The sequence below is a fragment of the Homo sapiens genome, chromosome 13, assembly GCF_000001405.40.
Source record: "Homo sapiens chromosome 13, GRCh38.p14 Primary Assembly".
Taxonomy (NCBI): Eukaryota; Metazoa; Chordata; class Mammalia; order Primates; family Hominidae; genus Homo; species Homo sapiens.
Window position 1 is genome coordinate 41,895,543 of NC_000013.11, and position 15,731 is coordinate 41,911,273.

The following is a 15,731-nucleotide window of genomic DNA, read 5'->3' on the forward strand; positions in this document are numbered from 1 at the left end:
CAAAGTCTTCTACAGATAACTACAATTACATTTCCCCAAATCAACATTGTTTTTCAAATCATCATCAACTCAGCAATGAAACTAACCACCTGCCTAAAAATATCTGAAAAGAGAGGTAGTTAACAGAAAAGGCTCATTAGTCTTTTAAATCAACCTAACCCACTAATTGTGCTATTATCCTCATGTGACTTAATTAAGAACTGTGATACGTCCTGTTTGCTAAATTGTTTTCAAGATATAACAAACTTCAGTTTAAGCCTCTTTTCATTTGTTTTACTTGCAAATTTTCTTTTTTTTTTTTTTTTTTAGTTTTTCTTACAAAAACATTTACCAAAGCTCTTTCTTTCTCCCAAAAAATCTTAATGTAAAAAAAACCAATTAGGCAAAGATCCAGTTTCTGACAGTGGCTTCTAAATGTCTCTAACTTTCCTTTAATAATCCATTAGACAAATTGCCAGGAAAATTCTGTAAAAGAAGAGCAATTAGGAGTGAGTTTAATTTAGGAATACAAAGAACCATGACTAGATAGGCAAATCAATAAAACAGAATTTAAGAAGGTATGCTAGTCTCTCTAGAAATGTAATGTATGAACAAGAAACTCTTGTAAATGAAAGAGGTTAGAGAGATTTGATATAACTCTCTCGCACTGTTGGAAAAAAATTTTTTTTGCTATTATTACATGTATTACCTTTCCTATGTAAGGAAACTAGTTAATAAAAATGATTAAACATTTTAAAATATAAGAAAAGTACACTTCAAATTAGTAGAAATTAGGAATTTGGAAAAGAAATCCAAATGAATTTAAAAATTTAATGATACAAGTAAAATCATGTAATTACTGGATAATCATATGTGACTTTTTGAAAATAATCTTGAATTGGGAAAAATCCAATAACTCAAAGGCAGATACCATTAAGAAAAAGATTAATAGATATGACTACATTCAAATTGGTCTATACAGCAAAAAATATCTCAAACTAAAAGACTGAAAACTTGGAAGATGTTTGTAACATATACAATAAAGACCACATAAATATCTTTAGTATAAATTGAATTTTTATAGATTATTAAGAAAATTAACAATACCCCTATAAAATGCAAATTAGCACCACAAAAATATATATTCAACTTCACTGGTTATTAGAGAGCTAAAGGTAAAACATGATATTTTTAGACTTTCAAATTGGCAAGGATTAAAAAAGAATGATAATATCCAGTGTCAGTAAGATTAAGATGAAACCAAAACTCTCATTCATGGTTGGTCAGAGTGCAAAATGATAAGCTTATGGAGAGTAACTTAGAAAGATATATAAAAATGTAAATGGCTATGTTATTAACCCAGAAATTCTACTTCAATAAATTTATCTAAAGGAAATGATAAGTGTACAATGATGTGTATTATCCAGTCATCAAAACACTGTTTTATAATTACAAATGAACCCAAAAACCGTAAATGCCAATCTGTGAAGGATTGGCAAAAAATTGTGGTAATTCAATATGATGGACTTCTACACAGATATTAAAAATAATGATATAGCTCCATCTTTACCTGTGAAAAGGCCCACAATATGTTGTTTACTCAAAAAGCTATAACTCCCTTTCCAGGACTAAGCGAATAAGGAAAGAGAATAAGAGGACAAATATTGAGAACATACAAGGAACTCAAATCAATTGCAAAAAAAAAAGATAAGATTTAAAAATGGGTAAAGGATCTGAACAGACATTTCTCAAAAGAAGACGTACAGATGGCCAGTAAGGAAATGCCCAACATCACTAATCACCAGAGAAATGCAATGAAAACCACAATGAGACCTCTCACTCCAGTTAGAATGGCCACTGTGAAAAAGAGAAAAAAGTAATGGATGTTGATGAGGATGTGGAGAAAAGAGAAGTTTTACACACTGTTGATGGAAATGTAAATTAGTACAGCCATTATAAAAAACAATATGGAGGTTCTTCAAAAGTTTAAAAGAGGAGCTATCATCTGATCCAGCAATATATGGACTGAATAGATGTATTAAAGTATTGTGTCCGAAATTGGTAGGTTCTTGGTCTCACTGACTTCAAGAATGAAGCCGCAGACCCTCGCGGTGTGTGTTACAGCTCTTAAGGCTGCGCGTCTGGAGTTGTTTGTTCCTCCCGGTGGGCTCGTGGTCTCGCTGGCTTCAGGAGTGAAGCTGCAGACCTTCGCTGTGAGTGTTACAGCTCATAAAAGCAGTGTGGACCCAAATAGTGGGCAGTAGCAAGATTTATTGCAAAGAGCGAAAAAACAAAGCTTCCACACTGTGGAAGGGGACCCGAGCGGGTTGCCACTGCTGGCTCCGGCAGCCTGCTTTTATTCTGCTAGCTGGCCCCCACCCACATCCTGCTGATTGGTAGAGCCGAGTGGTCTGTTTTGACAGGGCGCTGACTGGTGCGTTTACAATCCCTGAGCTAGACACAAAGGTTCTCCACATCCCCACCAGATTAGCTAGATACAGTGTTGACACAAAGGTTCTCCAAGGCCCCACCAGAATAGCTAGATACAGAGTGTCGATTGGTGCATTCACAAACCCTGAGCTAGACACAGGGTGCTGATTGGTGTGTTTACAAACCTTGAGGTAGATACTGAGTGCCGATTGGTGTATTTACAATCCCTGAGCTAGACATAAAGGTTCTCCAAGGCCCCACCAGAGCAGGTAGATACAGAGTGTCGATTGGTGCACTCACAAACCCTGAGCTAGACACAGGGTGCTGATTGGTGTGTTTACAAACCTTGAGCTAGATACAGAGTGCCAATTGGTGTATTTACAATCCCTGAGCTAGACACAGGGTGCTCCAAGGCCCCACCAGAGCAGCTAGATACAGAGTGTCGATTGGTGCACTCACAAACCCTGAGCTAGACACCCGGTGCTGATTGGTGTGTTTACAATCCCTGAGCTAGACATAAAGACTCTCCACATCCCCACCAGACTCAGGAGCCCAGCTGGCTTCACCCAGTGGATCCCGCACCAGGGCTGCAGGTGGAGCTGCCTGCCAGTCCTGCGCCATGCGCTGGCACTCCTCAGCCCTTGGGTGGTCGATGGGACTGGGCGCCGTGGAGCAGGGGGCGGCATTCGTCCGGGAGGCTCGGGCTGCACAGGAACCCACGGAGGCGGGGGAAGGCTCAGGCATGGCGGGCTGCAGTCCCGAGGCCTGCCCCGCGGGAAGGCAGCTAAGGCCCGGCGAGAAATCGAGCGCAGCGCCGGTGGGCTGGCACTGCTGGGGGACCCAGTACACCCTCCACACGCCGCTGGCCCGGGTGCTAAGTCCCTCATTGCCCGGGGCCTGCAGGGCCGGCCGGCTGCTCCGAGTGTGGGCCCGCCAAGCCCACGCCCACCCGGAACTCCAAGCTGGCCCGCAAGCGCCGCGCGCAGCCCCGATTCCCGCTCGCGCCTCTTCCTCCACACCTCCCTGCAAGCTGAGGGAGCCGGCTCTGGCCTTGGCCAGCCCAGAAAGGGGCTCCCACAGTGCAGCGGTGGGCTGAAGGACTCCTCAAGTGCCGCCAAAGTGGGAGCCCAGGCAGAGGAGGTGCCGAGAGCAAGCGAGGGCTCTGAGGACTGCCAGCACCCTGTCACCTCTCAGTATCACTCTATATCCTGTGAAAATGGACTATTGTCAACTAAAAAGGAAAATTAATAAATGAAAAATCTTCCCAACCTTTTTTCTGATTAATTCAATATAAATTATTTATTAATTTTACACACTATCTAAATGGCAACAAGAATGGATGTTTTATAGTGCAACTGAATCCAGAGGCAAGAATATTATAAGGGGATTGCAAATGTGTAAGGCTGGTATAATTTTTAGAAAACAAAAGACAAAAATGAATCGCCCAAGATTTTAAAATTTTCTCCCTATTTGCCCTTTGGTTACACAGTTGTAGACCCAGAACATATGAAAACTAAACTTTAAAAATATAAATAAGAATACTAGCCAAAAGGAGAAAATCTTGAGAAGATGCTCTTTGGAAACAAAATCTGAAACGCTCAATTTTCAGAACTAATACTAGTTAGTTACTATTTCAGGATCACTTTGCTTCCTGGTTCTTCCTTAAAATAGCCTATAAAATCATTAAAATACTTAATCAGTACTATCAAAAAGTACTATCAAACTTTATAAATATGACTACATTTGTAAAGAATAAATTTTAAAAATAAGCAACTGAATAGAACAAATGGCAAGTCCATTAAGTAATATAGCAACAACGTACTGTGCCATACCATATATCTCAGACTCAACTGGAGAGAAAAAAGTAAATGTTACAAGTTTTCTGCCCAATAGAGGCCCAAGCATCTTAACCTCCTTACATCAATACCCACTTTGCCTCATTTGCATAGCATGTAAGTGTGGGGGTACAATCTCGAAGTATTCTTGTTCTTTCATACCTACGTTTCATCTCCCCAGTGGATTCTTAGCTCTACGAAGGATGAGAACCCTGTCTTTTATGGCATACTGGTACAAAACTGGCTCACAGCAGGCTATTAGCATTTATGGAATAAACATGCAACCACTCAGTTAAAAGATGCTGTTATGTAAGGTTAGGAAGAATTTTTGTAGGAAGGATGATAGTTATCTATGCCTACACTTGTTATGAAAACAGAATAGAACAAGTTTATCAGCATGAGAGATTTAGGCTAGATAGTTGGAAGATTTTTCTATACAGGTTGTAACATAAAATAATTGTAGTATAATTTTTTTGAAATCTTTCTTAAAAAGGAGCAATATATGTATTTTTTTAATGTGGAATGACTAGTTGTAATCATTCCTCAAAGTAGAAATTAGACCATCTATAAGGAGCTCTTCTTGTCCTTCAAGCTACAGAACTTCCAGAGACCTAATTTTCTCAAATAGAATTCAGAAAAAAATGCAGCAGGATCCTTCTGGCCCAGCCATCTCCTATCACAGCTTTAACCACTCAACACATGGACATGAAAGATTTCAAGATAAAAGTAGGTGTGTGACCTAAAATCAAAAAGTATCTAAGTCCCTGTTCTAGATTTGCTTCTGATTTGATATAAGACCTTAGGCAAACAATTAATCTGGATGTCTTTGTCCTCATTTACAAAATTAGAATATCCTCAAGGGGTATTATACAGTGTAACAGTTTAAGAGTCAAAGCAGTACTGCAAAAAAAAATTTAAAGTAACTGAACCTACTAAAATATAAACTATTATTAATGTAGTCATTATTTAATAAAAATAGAGTCCATAAAGCTTCAAATTTACTCAAAATAGCTACGGTGTAAAAGTACTGAGGAAGCTAAAGAAAAATTTTTTAAATTACATTTCAAGTTCTTCATTTTAACACATCAGAATAGAATCGGATTGATTTTTGGTTGCTCTACCATTTACTTATTATAGGTGACTTAGATTACTCACTGAGCCTCCATTTCTCTCTAAAACTAGGCTCATTTTGGTGCTTATCTCATAGACTGTGTTGCAGATTAAATCAGATAACTTTGGGCACACAGTAAACCTTAAAAAACAATTAGTTGCTGTTACTGTTATGAATACAATCATCATTGTCACTGTCATCATGATCATCATTTTTTTTTTTTTTTTTTTTTACAAGCAGAGTCTCACTTTGTTACCCAGGCTGGATTGCAATGACTCAATCATAGCTCACTGTAACCTTGAACTCCTGGCCTCAAGTGATCCACCCACCTGGCCTCCTCAAGGGTTGGAATTACAGGCATGAGCCACTGCACTCAGCTCATCATCACTTTTTTAGAGAAGTAGCATAATATGGTAAAAGAACTTGAGCTTTGTAATTGGACAGAGCCTGGTTCAAATTTTACCTCTGCTATTTATCAGTTGTACAACCATCACCTTCTAAGCCCCTGTTACTTAATCTGTAAGATGGAAAAGTCATCTTCCTCCTAAGGATGTTCTGAGAATTAAATGCAATAATACGAAGCACCTAGCACAACGTAGGTCTCCCAATAAAAGTTTCCTTTTCATCTCTCTCTTTTCTTTCAAAACAAATTATATGCATCTGTCAAACAGTTAACATTATACAAGTAGGCCAGTCGCAGTGGCTCACGCCTGTTATACCAGCACGGTGGGAGGCCGAGGTATGCGGATCACCTGAGGTCAGTTCGAAACCAGCCTGGCCAACATGGCAAAACCATGTCTCCATGAAAAAATACAAAAATTACCCAAATGTGATGGTGCGCACCTGTAGTCCCAGTTACTCGGGAGGCTGAGGCACGAGAATTGCTTGTACCCAGGAGGCAGAGGTTGCAGTGAGCCGAGATCATGCCACTGCACTCCAGCCTGGGTGACAGAACAAGACTCCATCTCAAAAAAAAAAAAAAAAAAAAAAAAATATATATATATATATATATATATACACACACATATATATTTGCATACATATATATGCAAATAGAAAGGAGTTCTTCTGAGTATGATAGCAACATAACAACGAGCAAACACTTGAGTTCTAACACAGAGGCCACAGTAAACAGAGAGAGATCTTCCCCGACTGTCCAAGTGCAAATTAGGATGTATTTTTAAATAATGATGTGGTTATTTGTACTAGTGAAAAGTGAGAAAGAACCTGAATAACCAATAATATAAAAAGGTAGAAAAAATAGGAATGTTAAATAAATAACAGCATACCTATCTGATGAAATATTGTACGGATACTAAAAATCATATCTTTGAGTAACATCTAATGTCAAAAGGAGATGCTCCTGATAAAATGCCAGGTTTTTAAAAAACACTATAAACTTTATATACATGGCATACCATTTTTGTAAAAATTATACATTATACATTATAAACATATGCACATAGAAAGAAATACAGAAAATATTCATGCTGCTCGTCTTGAAGAAGAATACAGCAAGTAATTTTTCAGTTCTTTCGTATGCTTTTTAGTATTTACTCAATTATGCTACCCTTCTTTACTGTTTGGTTTCCCCAACTAAAACATAAGCTCTATAACAACAGAGATTTTTGGTTTATTTGTTCACTGCATCTGGATAATGCCTTGCACATATCAATCATTCAATATATATTTGTTAATAAATACAAATATTATATGCATTTATATCAAATGAGCATTTATGACTTGCATAATCAGAAAAAATAAACTTTACTTTGAAAACAATATAAATTCCCTATTACATATTATTATTAACCTAATTCTCGCCTTCAAAGGTAGCAGTTGAGTTTAAACCTCTTGCTTTATCATCAATCATCCTTAGTTTTAGGTGAGAATTAGTGAAGAGCTTAATGGCCATGACCAACAACTCAGGATTTGGGTGTTTCCAGCTGATATGTCAATTCGTAATAACCTGGATACCAGTCATAGGTGCGTACAATGGGAATGATACTGAAAATCCCAAACTTTCTCCCAATACCCACCAGAGAGCCACAGGTACTTTTTCACCTATATTGGGCCATCAAGTTACAGGGATCACCTAACAGTGAATAAAAATACTGCCCGTCCCTTCAGCCCAAACATCAAATTCAATGGTTAAGAACACTGAATAAATAAAAAGGAATTTTTAAATAAAATAAATGCAAAGGCCTTTCGGTGTAACAAATATACGTCTAGCTGGTAGTCAACTGGCAAATTCATCTATCTAGAATTCAAATGGAAATTATCCATTGTGATGACTCAAAATAGATGTCAAAAAGGCAAACATCCATAGAAAACCCCACCTGGTGTTTTCATGAATAAATTAAGGCCAGAACCCACTTATTCTTAATTTAGTTAAAATTGTAATAAAGTTGATTACCCAAAGAAGAAATCTACCATCAATATATGTGTCACTTATGTTCCAGACAGTTTTTAGGTGCCTGAGATGAGCAAGATAGACAGTTATATTCTAGCGGGGGAGGAGAGCCAACAAACATGGGAGCAGGGAAATAGGTAAGTTCAGAGAGTGCTAAGTGCTCTGGAGATAATATCATGTACGATGACAGCCTGGTGCGGCATGGTATATTTGGAAAGGGGGTAGGCATGGCCAGTGGCTACTTTAGCTAAGAAATTTATAACCTGAATTACAAGGAGGCAAGAATATAAAGTACAAAGAGAAACTCACACCAAGCAGAGGAAACACCAAGTACAAAGGAAGGCAACTGCAGCTGCAGCCTGCAAGGCAAGGAGTAAAAGGAAAGGTGGTAGACAAACATTCGATCCTATAGAGTGATGTAGGCCATATTACAGGGTTTGGATCTGACGGTGGATGTAATGGGACATTACTGCATGGCTTTAAGCAGCAAGGAACTGGTAGGATCTGATTATGAACAGCACAGTAAGGAATACTAACTGCAAGGAAATAAGATAAAATAAAAATATGAAAATCAGATAAGACCTCAAAACGTCATCTGAAGCAATAAAGAAAGGACTAACATTCCTGCACCTCAGTCACGGGCTCCGAAGGTATCAGTGGGATTAGAGCACAGTAAATAACAGATGCTCATCAGAATGAGCAGGATTCACCAACAAAACATAAGAGTGTAAAATGCTGCCAAGGTAAGACACTTAAAATATTTATAAACTTTATAAACTAAAATATATATCATCTAAAAATATTCTTTTTAGAAGGACCAAAGGACTGTATAACTTCAGAAAGTTTCATCTAAATAATTTACTATAATGGTCCAACAAATAAATCTTTAGATAATCGATAAATTTAGTTTCCTAAAACAATTTCTAAAAAGCTAAAGTGTTAAGCTCTCCTTAAAATAATAAACACATTTAAAAATCCATTTTCTCTTCCTTACTATTTGCAAATTATAAAATTCATTTTAAAAATATATTTTTAAATCCATACTCTACCAAACAAAGCCAGTTCTTTCACCATTATTTAAATATATTCCTGACTCCTCACCTCTACTTAGGTCATTGTTCCAGCTTCTAATCCCTTTACCCAGCTCCTCACTATTCCAGCTCAAATCCCATCCCTCACTCTTATCTTCTCTGAGTATAGAAAAGAGGCAAATTTTTTTAAAACCTTGTCAATTGGGGGTGGTGTGGGGTTTACAGCACCTTTATGTGTAACTATCATGGGAACAGAAATGTAAGCAATCAAAAGCTGTATGCTTAAAAAATATCCTGAATTTTAAATTTTATTATTTGTATTAACTGCAATATTCCAGATTTACTGTTTAGTAGCCTAAATCTTCACATAAGTTTTAAATGTATTAAAATTTTAGGGATTACCAGACCATATATTTTAGAAAATTAACCCAATATGAAATTTAAAAAATTAAACACCCTTAATCAAATAACTCTATCCACTATTCCAAACAGCTTGCAAAGAAGTTCAGTGGAAATGATCCTGTGAATTAATATCTACCCTTTCTAAAAGATAACCAACTGGAAAAAGAAATTAGGACTTTCCTGTTACCTTTCTTACCACGTGAAAAATGCAGGTTGTTCATTCTAAAAATAAATATAAGCTTTTGAATAAAAATATATTTTTATAATGTGGATATTATGTGAATCACTAGGTTTGGAATAAATACCATTAAATTGAGAGTCGAAGTCAACAAGATAGAAATATAAATTCAAATTCATATTTCAAAAGGCACTTAGTGCTTGCTTCGGCAGCACATATACTAAAATTGGAATGATACAAAGAAGATTAGCATGACCCCTCCTCAAGGATGACATGCAAATTCATAAAGCATTCCATTTTTTTTTAAGGGACTTCTTCACAAAGAAAACACAGCAGGGGTCTTAAAAATGTTTAAAATGATGAATACAAGAACCTCTTGGCTACAAGAGAGAATTTTTCATTACAAAACTGGACAGTTAGATATAAAATTATTAGTAATGGTTGTTACCTATTACCATTTATAGGTAATGTACATGAGCACAAAGAGCTCTTTAAAAATTCCCTGGTAAAATTATACTATAAAATTATATCTGATAATTCTATTCTTTGTTTTAAAATTTGACTATAAATTATTTAAAATTTTTAATTTGCATTTTAATGTAAGAACTTTGAATCTAAAAGACAAACATAAAAATGGCTATCTATACTACAGTGCAATAAAGAAACTAAATCATCTTCCCTCCCCAACCTTTTAATCTGGAACCATTCCTTACCTGTTTTGACTTTTAGGACATTGAACATTTTTTAGGAGTCCAAGTTGTTGTCTTACAGACTATCACACATTCTAGATCAGTCTGATTGTTAATGTTAAACGTTTTTAGTAAGAGTACTACATTGGTAATGCTGTAGTACTCTTAGTAAACCTGTTGGAGTGCTCTTACCCTGTAGAGGTAAACCCTCATTGAATCACATCAGCATTCACATCATGATAATTCTGTTGTATGAGTTGGTTAATGGAGCCAATGCCAGATCTCATCATTGTAAAGGTACATTATTTTTTCCCATTTGTAATCAGAAGTAATCTATGAAGTGAACTTTTGGCATTATGTAAACAAAATGGGTTCCTTTAAAATTTGTTTATGTGCTCTGTCTGTGAAGGATTACTTTTTGATTATGGGAAATCTGAACTTCTCAGACATTCCCACTAGATGATGCTAAATTTTTTTGAAAGCCATCATTTAAGGTAGTGTCTGCCAAATCTCTCCATTTTAAGTGCATTTTTTTCTTTTGTAATTAATAAGTAACACATGAGGCCATGTGAATATCCTATTCCTCAAAAACTTTCCACTCAGTGATTTTTTACAATTACAGTCTTTTAATTATAACGTAACAGTGTGCCCATGCTAAAGTTTCAAATGTAAAGAACTACGAAAGTCTCTTCCTTATCCTACTCCAGACTCCAACTCACACTTCTGTAACATACTTTATGTACACTCTGTTAACTGCTCCTTGTGCATCCTTCTGGAAGTTTTCAATGTATAAACAAACATATATGCATTTCTTGTCTTCTTTTTACCACAAATGGGATCACAGTATACATACTGTCTTATAAATTTATTTTTTTCACTTAATTTATCCTGCACATCTTTCCTATCAGTACGTACACATTCATCTCATTCTTTTTAATAACTAAAGAGTATTCTACTTACCATTATTTCATTAGTCTCTTTAAGTATACATCACTCTGTTCATTCACAGTTTTATACAATTTCAAACAATGTTACATTAAACATCCTTGTACATATAACTTTTCATGTTTTATGTGAATATACTTGACTAAAATTTCTAGAAACATAACTGTTGAGTCCAAATGCATGTGTAATTTCTTTTCTTTTGATAAATATTGCCAAACTTTCTTTTTAAATTGCATTAATTTCTGCTGCCATCAACAGCAATGCTGTTTTCTCATCTCTTCTTCCTCATTAATACTGGACATTAGCAAATTCTTTAATCTTTGCCAATCTGAGAGGTAAAAGAAAAATAGCAGCTGACAGTCTTTTAATTTTTATTTTTGTAAATAAGAAAGTCAAGCATCTTTTCATGAAATTATTGAATATTTGAAATATTTTCTCTATGAATTGCTTATTTATAGGCTCTATCCTTTTTCTATTAAATACTCCTAAGAACAATATTTTAAACAATGTATTTGAAGAAGTGTAAAACAAGTTTCATTATAATGTTCATAAAACATTATGTTAGTTGGTAATCTGTACCTAAGATACTCTCCCACCAGAGAAAAAGCTATAGTTTCTGGAAGTGTATACTCTCACTACCTTTAATACCCCTTTACCCAAGTGACCTATAGATTGAAAATACTTTAATAAATATGCTAGAGAATCTCCTATATCAAATCTCCTTAATTCATTTTTTAATAAATCAAATTTCTATAGGCAAGTAGTAGGAAACAATTTAAAATTATGAAATCAGCACATTGATCTTTAACGTTTTAGAACCATTAATTTCATCTAGGATTTCTCATTTAGTACAAAACCAAGAAGACATTTCCAAGAACAGTGAAACTAAAAATCTAAATTAAATCTGTCTAGAGAGAGCACAATACAACTACCTTTTACTGTTATATGAGCTACTCTCTTTCTACTTTAAAAATCAATCTTGTATAGACCTGGAGTACACAGTCATGGGCTAGAGTGTGACAGAACTTGCCTGATCAATGTAAAAGGCTGTGCCTGCACGGATCTCTCGTCGCTGTTTGAGATCAGTTTCAGTGGTGTCCCTTGACAGGGCAATGTATTCGACCTCCCGTTTGGTCAGCTCCTGTAGAGAAGAGAATGAAATTATTCCAAAAATAAAATCAAATTTCCAGCATATGATTTGGAACTAGTTATCTGACAATGCCATTGCCCATGAGAAGTGCATTGTTAAACCTAATTTTGGGTTGAAACTTGTTGAATCTAAGTTTGAGAAAAAAGAAATAAATTGAACTTTAATCAAAATATCTATATATCTCCTCAGAGCTCTTCTTCTATGGCACTCAATCCTACTACTTAAGCAATAATAATCAAAATCCAATTTTACAAACCTTAATTTTTCCTGTAGAATTATTTCCAAATATAATGAGCAATAATTTGACAGTATTACTATTTGGTTTGCCCACAAACTATAGCCATTTCTGTAAGTAATGTTCATCTTTTATAAAGGGGTGATTTAGATTAATTTATTCCATGGATCAATGTTTGCCAAGTGTATACAGTATGTTAGGTACTTTACCAAATGTGAAAACAAGGTAAAAATCCCAATAATCAGCTGGGCGCTGTGGCTCACACCTGTAATCCCAGCACTTTGGGAGGCCGAAGTGGGCAGATCACTTGAGGTCAGAAGTTCGAGACCAGCCTGGCCAATGTGGTGAAACCCTGTCTCTATTAAAAATACAAAAATTAGCCAGGTATGGTGGCGCATGCCTGTAGTCCCTGCTACTCGGGAGGCTGAGGCAGGAGAATTGCTTGAACCCAGGAGGTGGAGGTTGAGGTTGCAGTAAGCCGAGATCACACCATTGCACTCCAGCCTGGGCAACAAAGCAAGACTCCATCTCAAGGGAAAAAAAACAAACAAACCCAATAATCAGGTAAACAGAAGATAAATACACATGCATAGTTGTAGGAGAAGTAGAAGGAGGATTTTAAAAAGGAGAGGAAGGAGGTGATGAAAAAGGAGGAGGAAAAGGAAGGAGGAGGAGTAGAAGGAACAGAAAGAGGACAAAAAAATAATCAAAAAAATCATGAGATTTGAAGAGGAAACGATGCAGAATTCACCTGTTTCAAGATAATTTATCCATCCTTAAAAGTCTTTTGCCCTATAATCATGTACAAAAAGTTTTTAACATTATCTTTGGTTTTACAATGTTGAAGTAAAAACAATGACATTCTCCAATCAAATAAGGCACACAATAAGTTTTTACTAAACATGAGGAACAAACTGAGTTACTTAAGTATAATGGAAAATGGGAATGAACATGCCATTAATGGCAAAAAGGGATACTGCCATACAAGGGGATTTTTTCTCCATCCTATCTCCATATGCTACTGATAAAAACATATTATTGTTGTAATTTAGGTCTCCTTTAATGTGCCTGTCCCCATGTTACATAACTTTATGTACGTAAAGGAGGAAAAAAATTTTTTTTTTTTTTTTTTGAGATAGTCTCACTCTGTCACCCAGGCTGTTGTACAGTGGTGCGATCTCAGCTCACTGCAACCTCTGCTTCCCAGGTTCAAGCAATTCTTGTGCCTCAGCCTCCAGAGTGGCTGTGGCTGGGACTATAGGCATATGCCACCATGCCTGGCTAATGTTTGTATTTTTTAGTACAGACGGGATTTCACCATGTCGGCCAGACTGATCTCGAACTCTTGACTTCAAGTGATCTGCCCACCTGGGCCTCCCAAAGTGTTGGGATCATAGGCATGAGCCACCGCACCCAGTCTAAAAGGAGGAAAAATTTTTAAATAGAGAAAACACCGACTAGTGGCAAAGATGTGGTGATACCTAAGGATGTTTCCCTAAAAACAAATGAATTGGCTGAGAGAGCACAATTTTGGAGTAAAGTGGCAATTTCTCTTGTTGGCAGGTATTACTTCTTGCTTCTGGAACACATCACTAGTATCTTCATGTCTGCTTCATTGACTGGCTGGAAGTGATCTCCCTCAATGAAAAACCCTGTCATTACAATAGGCTTCCATTAGTTGACAAAGTTATATATGCCTCTTATTGTTAAACTGCACAGAGTTACACCCTGAACTGCTACATGATCATTATCCTCAGCTTCCTTTGTTCTTCATTGGCCGTGACAAGCACCAAAGTCTCCCCAGGTGCTGATTCACGAAAGAGGCATGAGTACATTCACAAACAGCCCCAGGAGCAGCAGATGGAGGAGGCAGCAGTGGTATGATTTTTTTGAACAAACTACAAAAGTCCTTTTATATAAGTATAAAATAAACACAACTATGAAATTATTCCTATTTATTTTCTCATGGTTTACCATGCTTGCCCCAGATTTTCTGCCTTTAAAGATCTCATCCACTCTGGCTATCACTATACATAGGCTGTTATTCTTAGGGGCAATAGTACTCACTGCAAGGAGGCTTAAGCTAGTATTAAGTTTTCTTATGTATATCCACAGCCTATGGTTGCCTCAGCTCCATTCCACAATTTAAAGTTGGGGGTGTTGTTGGTTTCTTTTTTAAAGATACAGGTTTCACACTTACAAATCTATGTTGCATTTTTGAACCAACGAGGCTTCTCATAATCTCTTAGCCCTTCTCATTTCACATTCTCAATAAGCTTCAAAGCCTTGCCAAAAACAAAATCTCAGTGAGATATTGTGGTCTTTGAAATAAGCAAGGTAGCAAGTGCACATCTTAAAATTAAAAAGGCTTGGCCGGGCACGGTGGCTGTAATCCCAGCACTCTGGGAGGCCGAGGCAGATGGATCACAAGGTCAGGAGTTGGAGACCAGCCTGCCCAATATGGTGAAACCCATTTCTACTAAAAACATGAAAAATTAGCCGGGTGTGGTGGCATGCGTCAGTAGTCCCAGCTAATGAGAAGCTGAGGCAGGAGAATCACTTGAACCCAGGAGGCAAAGGTTGCAGTGAGCCAAGATCAAGCCACTGCACTCCAGCCTGGGCGACAAAGTGGGACTCCATCTCAAAAAAAACAAAAAAAAAAAACAACAACAAAAATGGCTCTAGATCTGTAATTCTCAGTAGCTGACTTCGCATTCTTAGATAAGACACTTTTACCTTACATATTAATAAAGTGAGGATGGCTCTACAGTGGCACGTTTTACCTCACAAACTAGTTCTAGGGATAAATAAAAGATAAATGAGCTAGTGCGAGTTAGGCTCTGATTTATTCATGTATTTATTATTTCTGCCCCACATGATTTTTGAAGTACCAAAGAAGATTCGCCACTGAAATAAAAGAGTGTACAAGGTAGATTTCAATAGCATTGAAATCAATCATTTCATAGCAAATAATACAAGGAATCTTTAAATAAGGTTTTTCTCTTCATCCTAAAAAATGTCTTCAGAACACAGCTTCATCTGGTGGCATTCTTTCATTAATCATTAGGGTAATGCCTACCAATACTGACAAAATAGCGGAAAACATTTGTACATTTTCTTTCTTTTTTTTTTTTTTTTTTTGAGACGGAGTCTCACTTTGCCACCCAGGCTGGAGTGCAATGGCACGATCTTGGCTCACTGCAACTTCCACCTCCCAACTTCAAGCAATTCTCCTGCCTCAGCCTCCCGAGTAGCTGGGATCACAGGCGCCTAGCACCATACCCTGCTAATTTTTGTATTTTTAGTAGAGCCGAGGTTTCACCATGTTGGCCA

The 15,731-nt window shown here is 36.7% G+C and overlaps 1 protein-coding gene and 1 pseudogene across 2 annotated transcripts in view; one reads left to right on the forward strand and one right to left on the reverse strand.

Moving 5' to 3' along the window:
- VWA8 (von Willebrand factor A domain containing 8) overlaps positions 1 to 15,731 on the reverse strand; it is a 394,275-nt gene that overhangs the window by 328,708 nt on the left and 49,836 nt on the right. For both annotated transcript variants that reach the window (NM_015058.2, NM_001009814.2), the window contains exon 4: positions 12,044 to 12,154. In NM_015058.2, the coding sequence (NP_055873.1) occupies positions 12,044 to 12,154 (111 nt within the window). The remainder of the gene's footprint in view (positions 1 to 12,043; positions 12,155 to 15,731) is intronic.
- RNU6-74P (RNA, U6 small nuclear 74, pseudogene) lies at positions 9,576 to 9,681 on the forward strand (annotated as a pseudogene).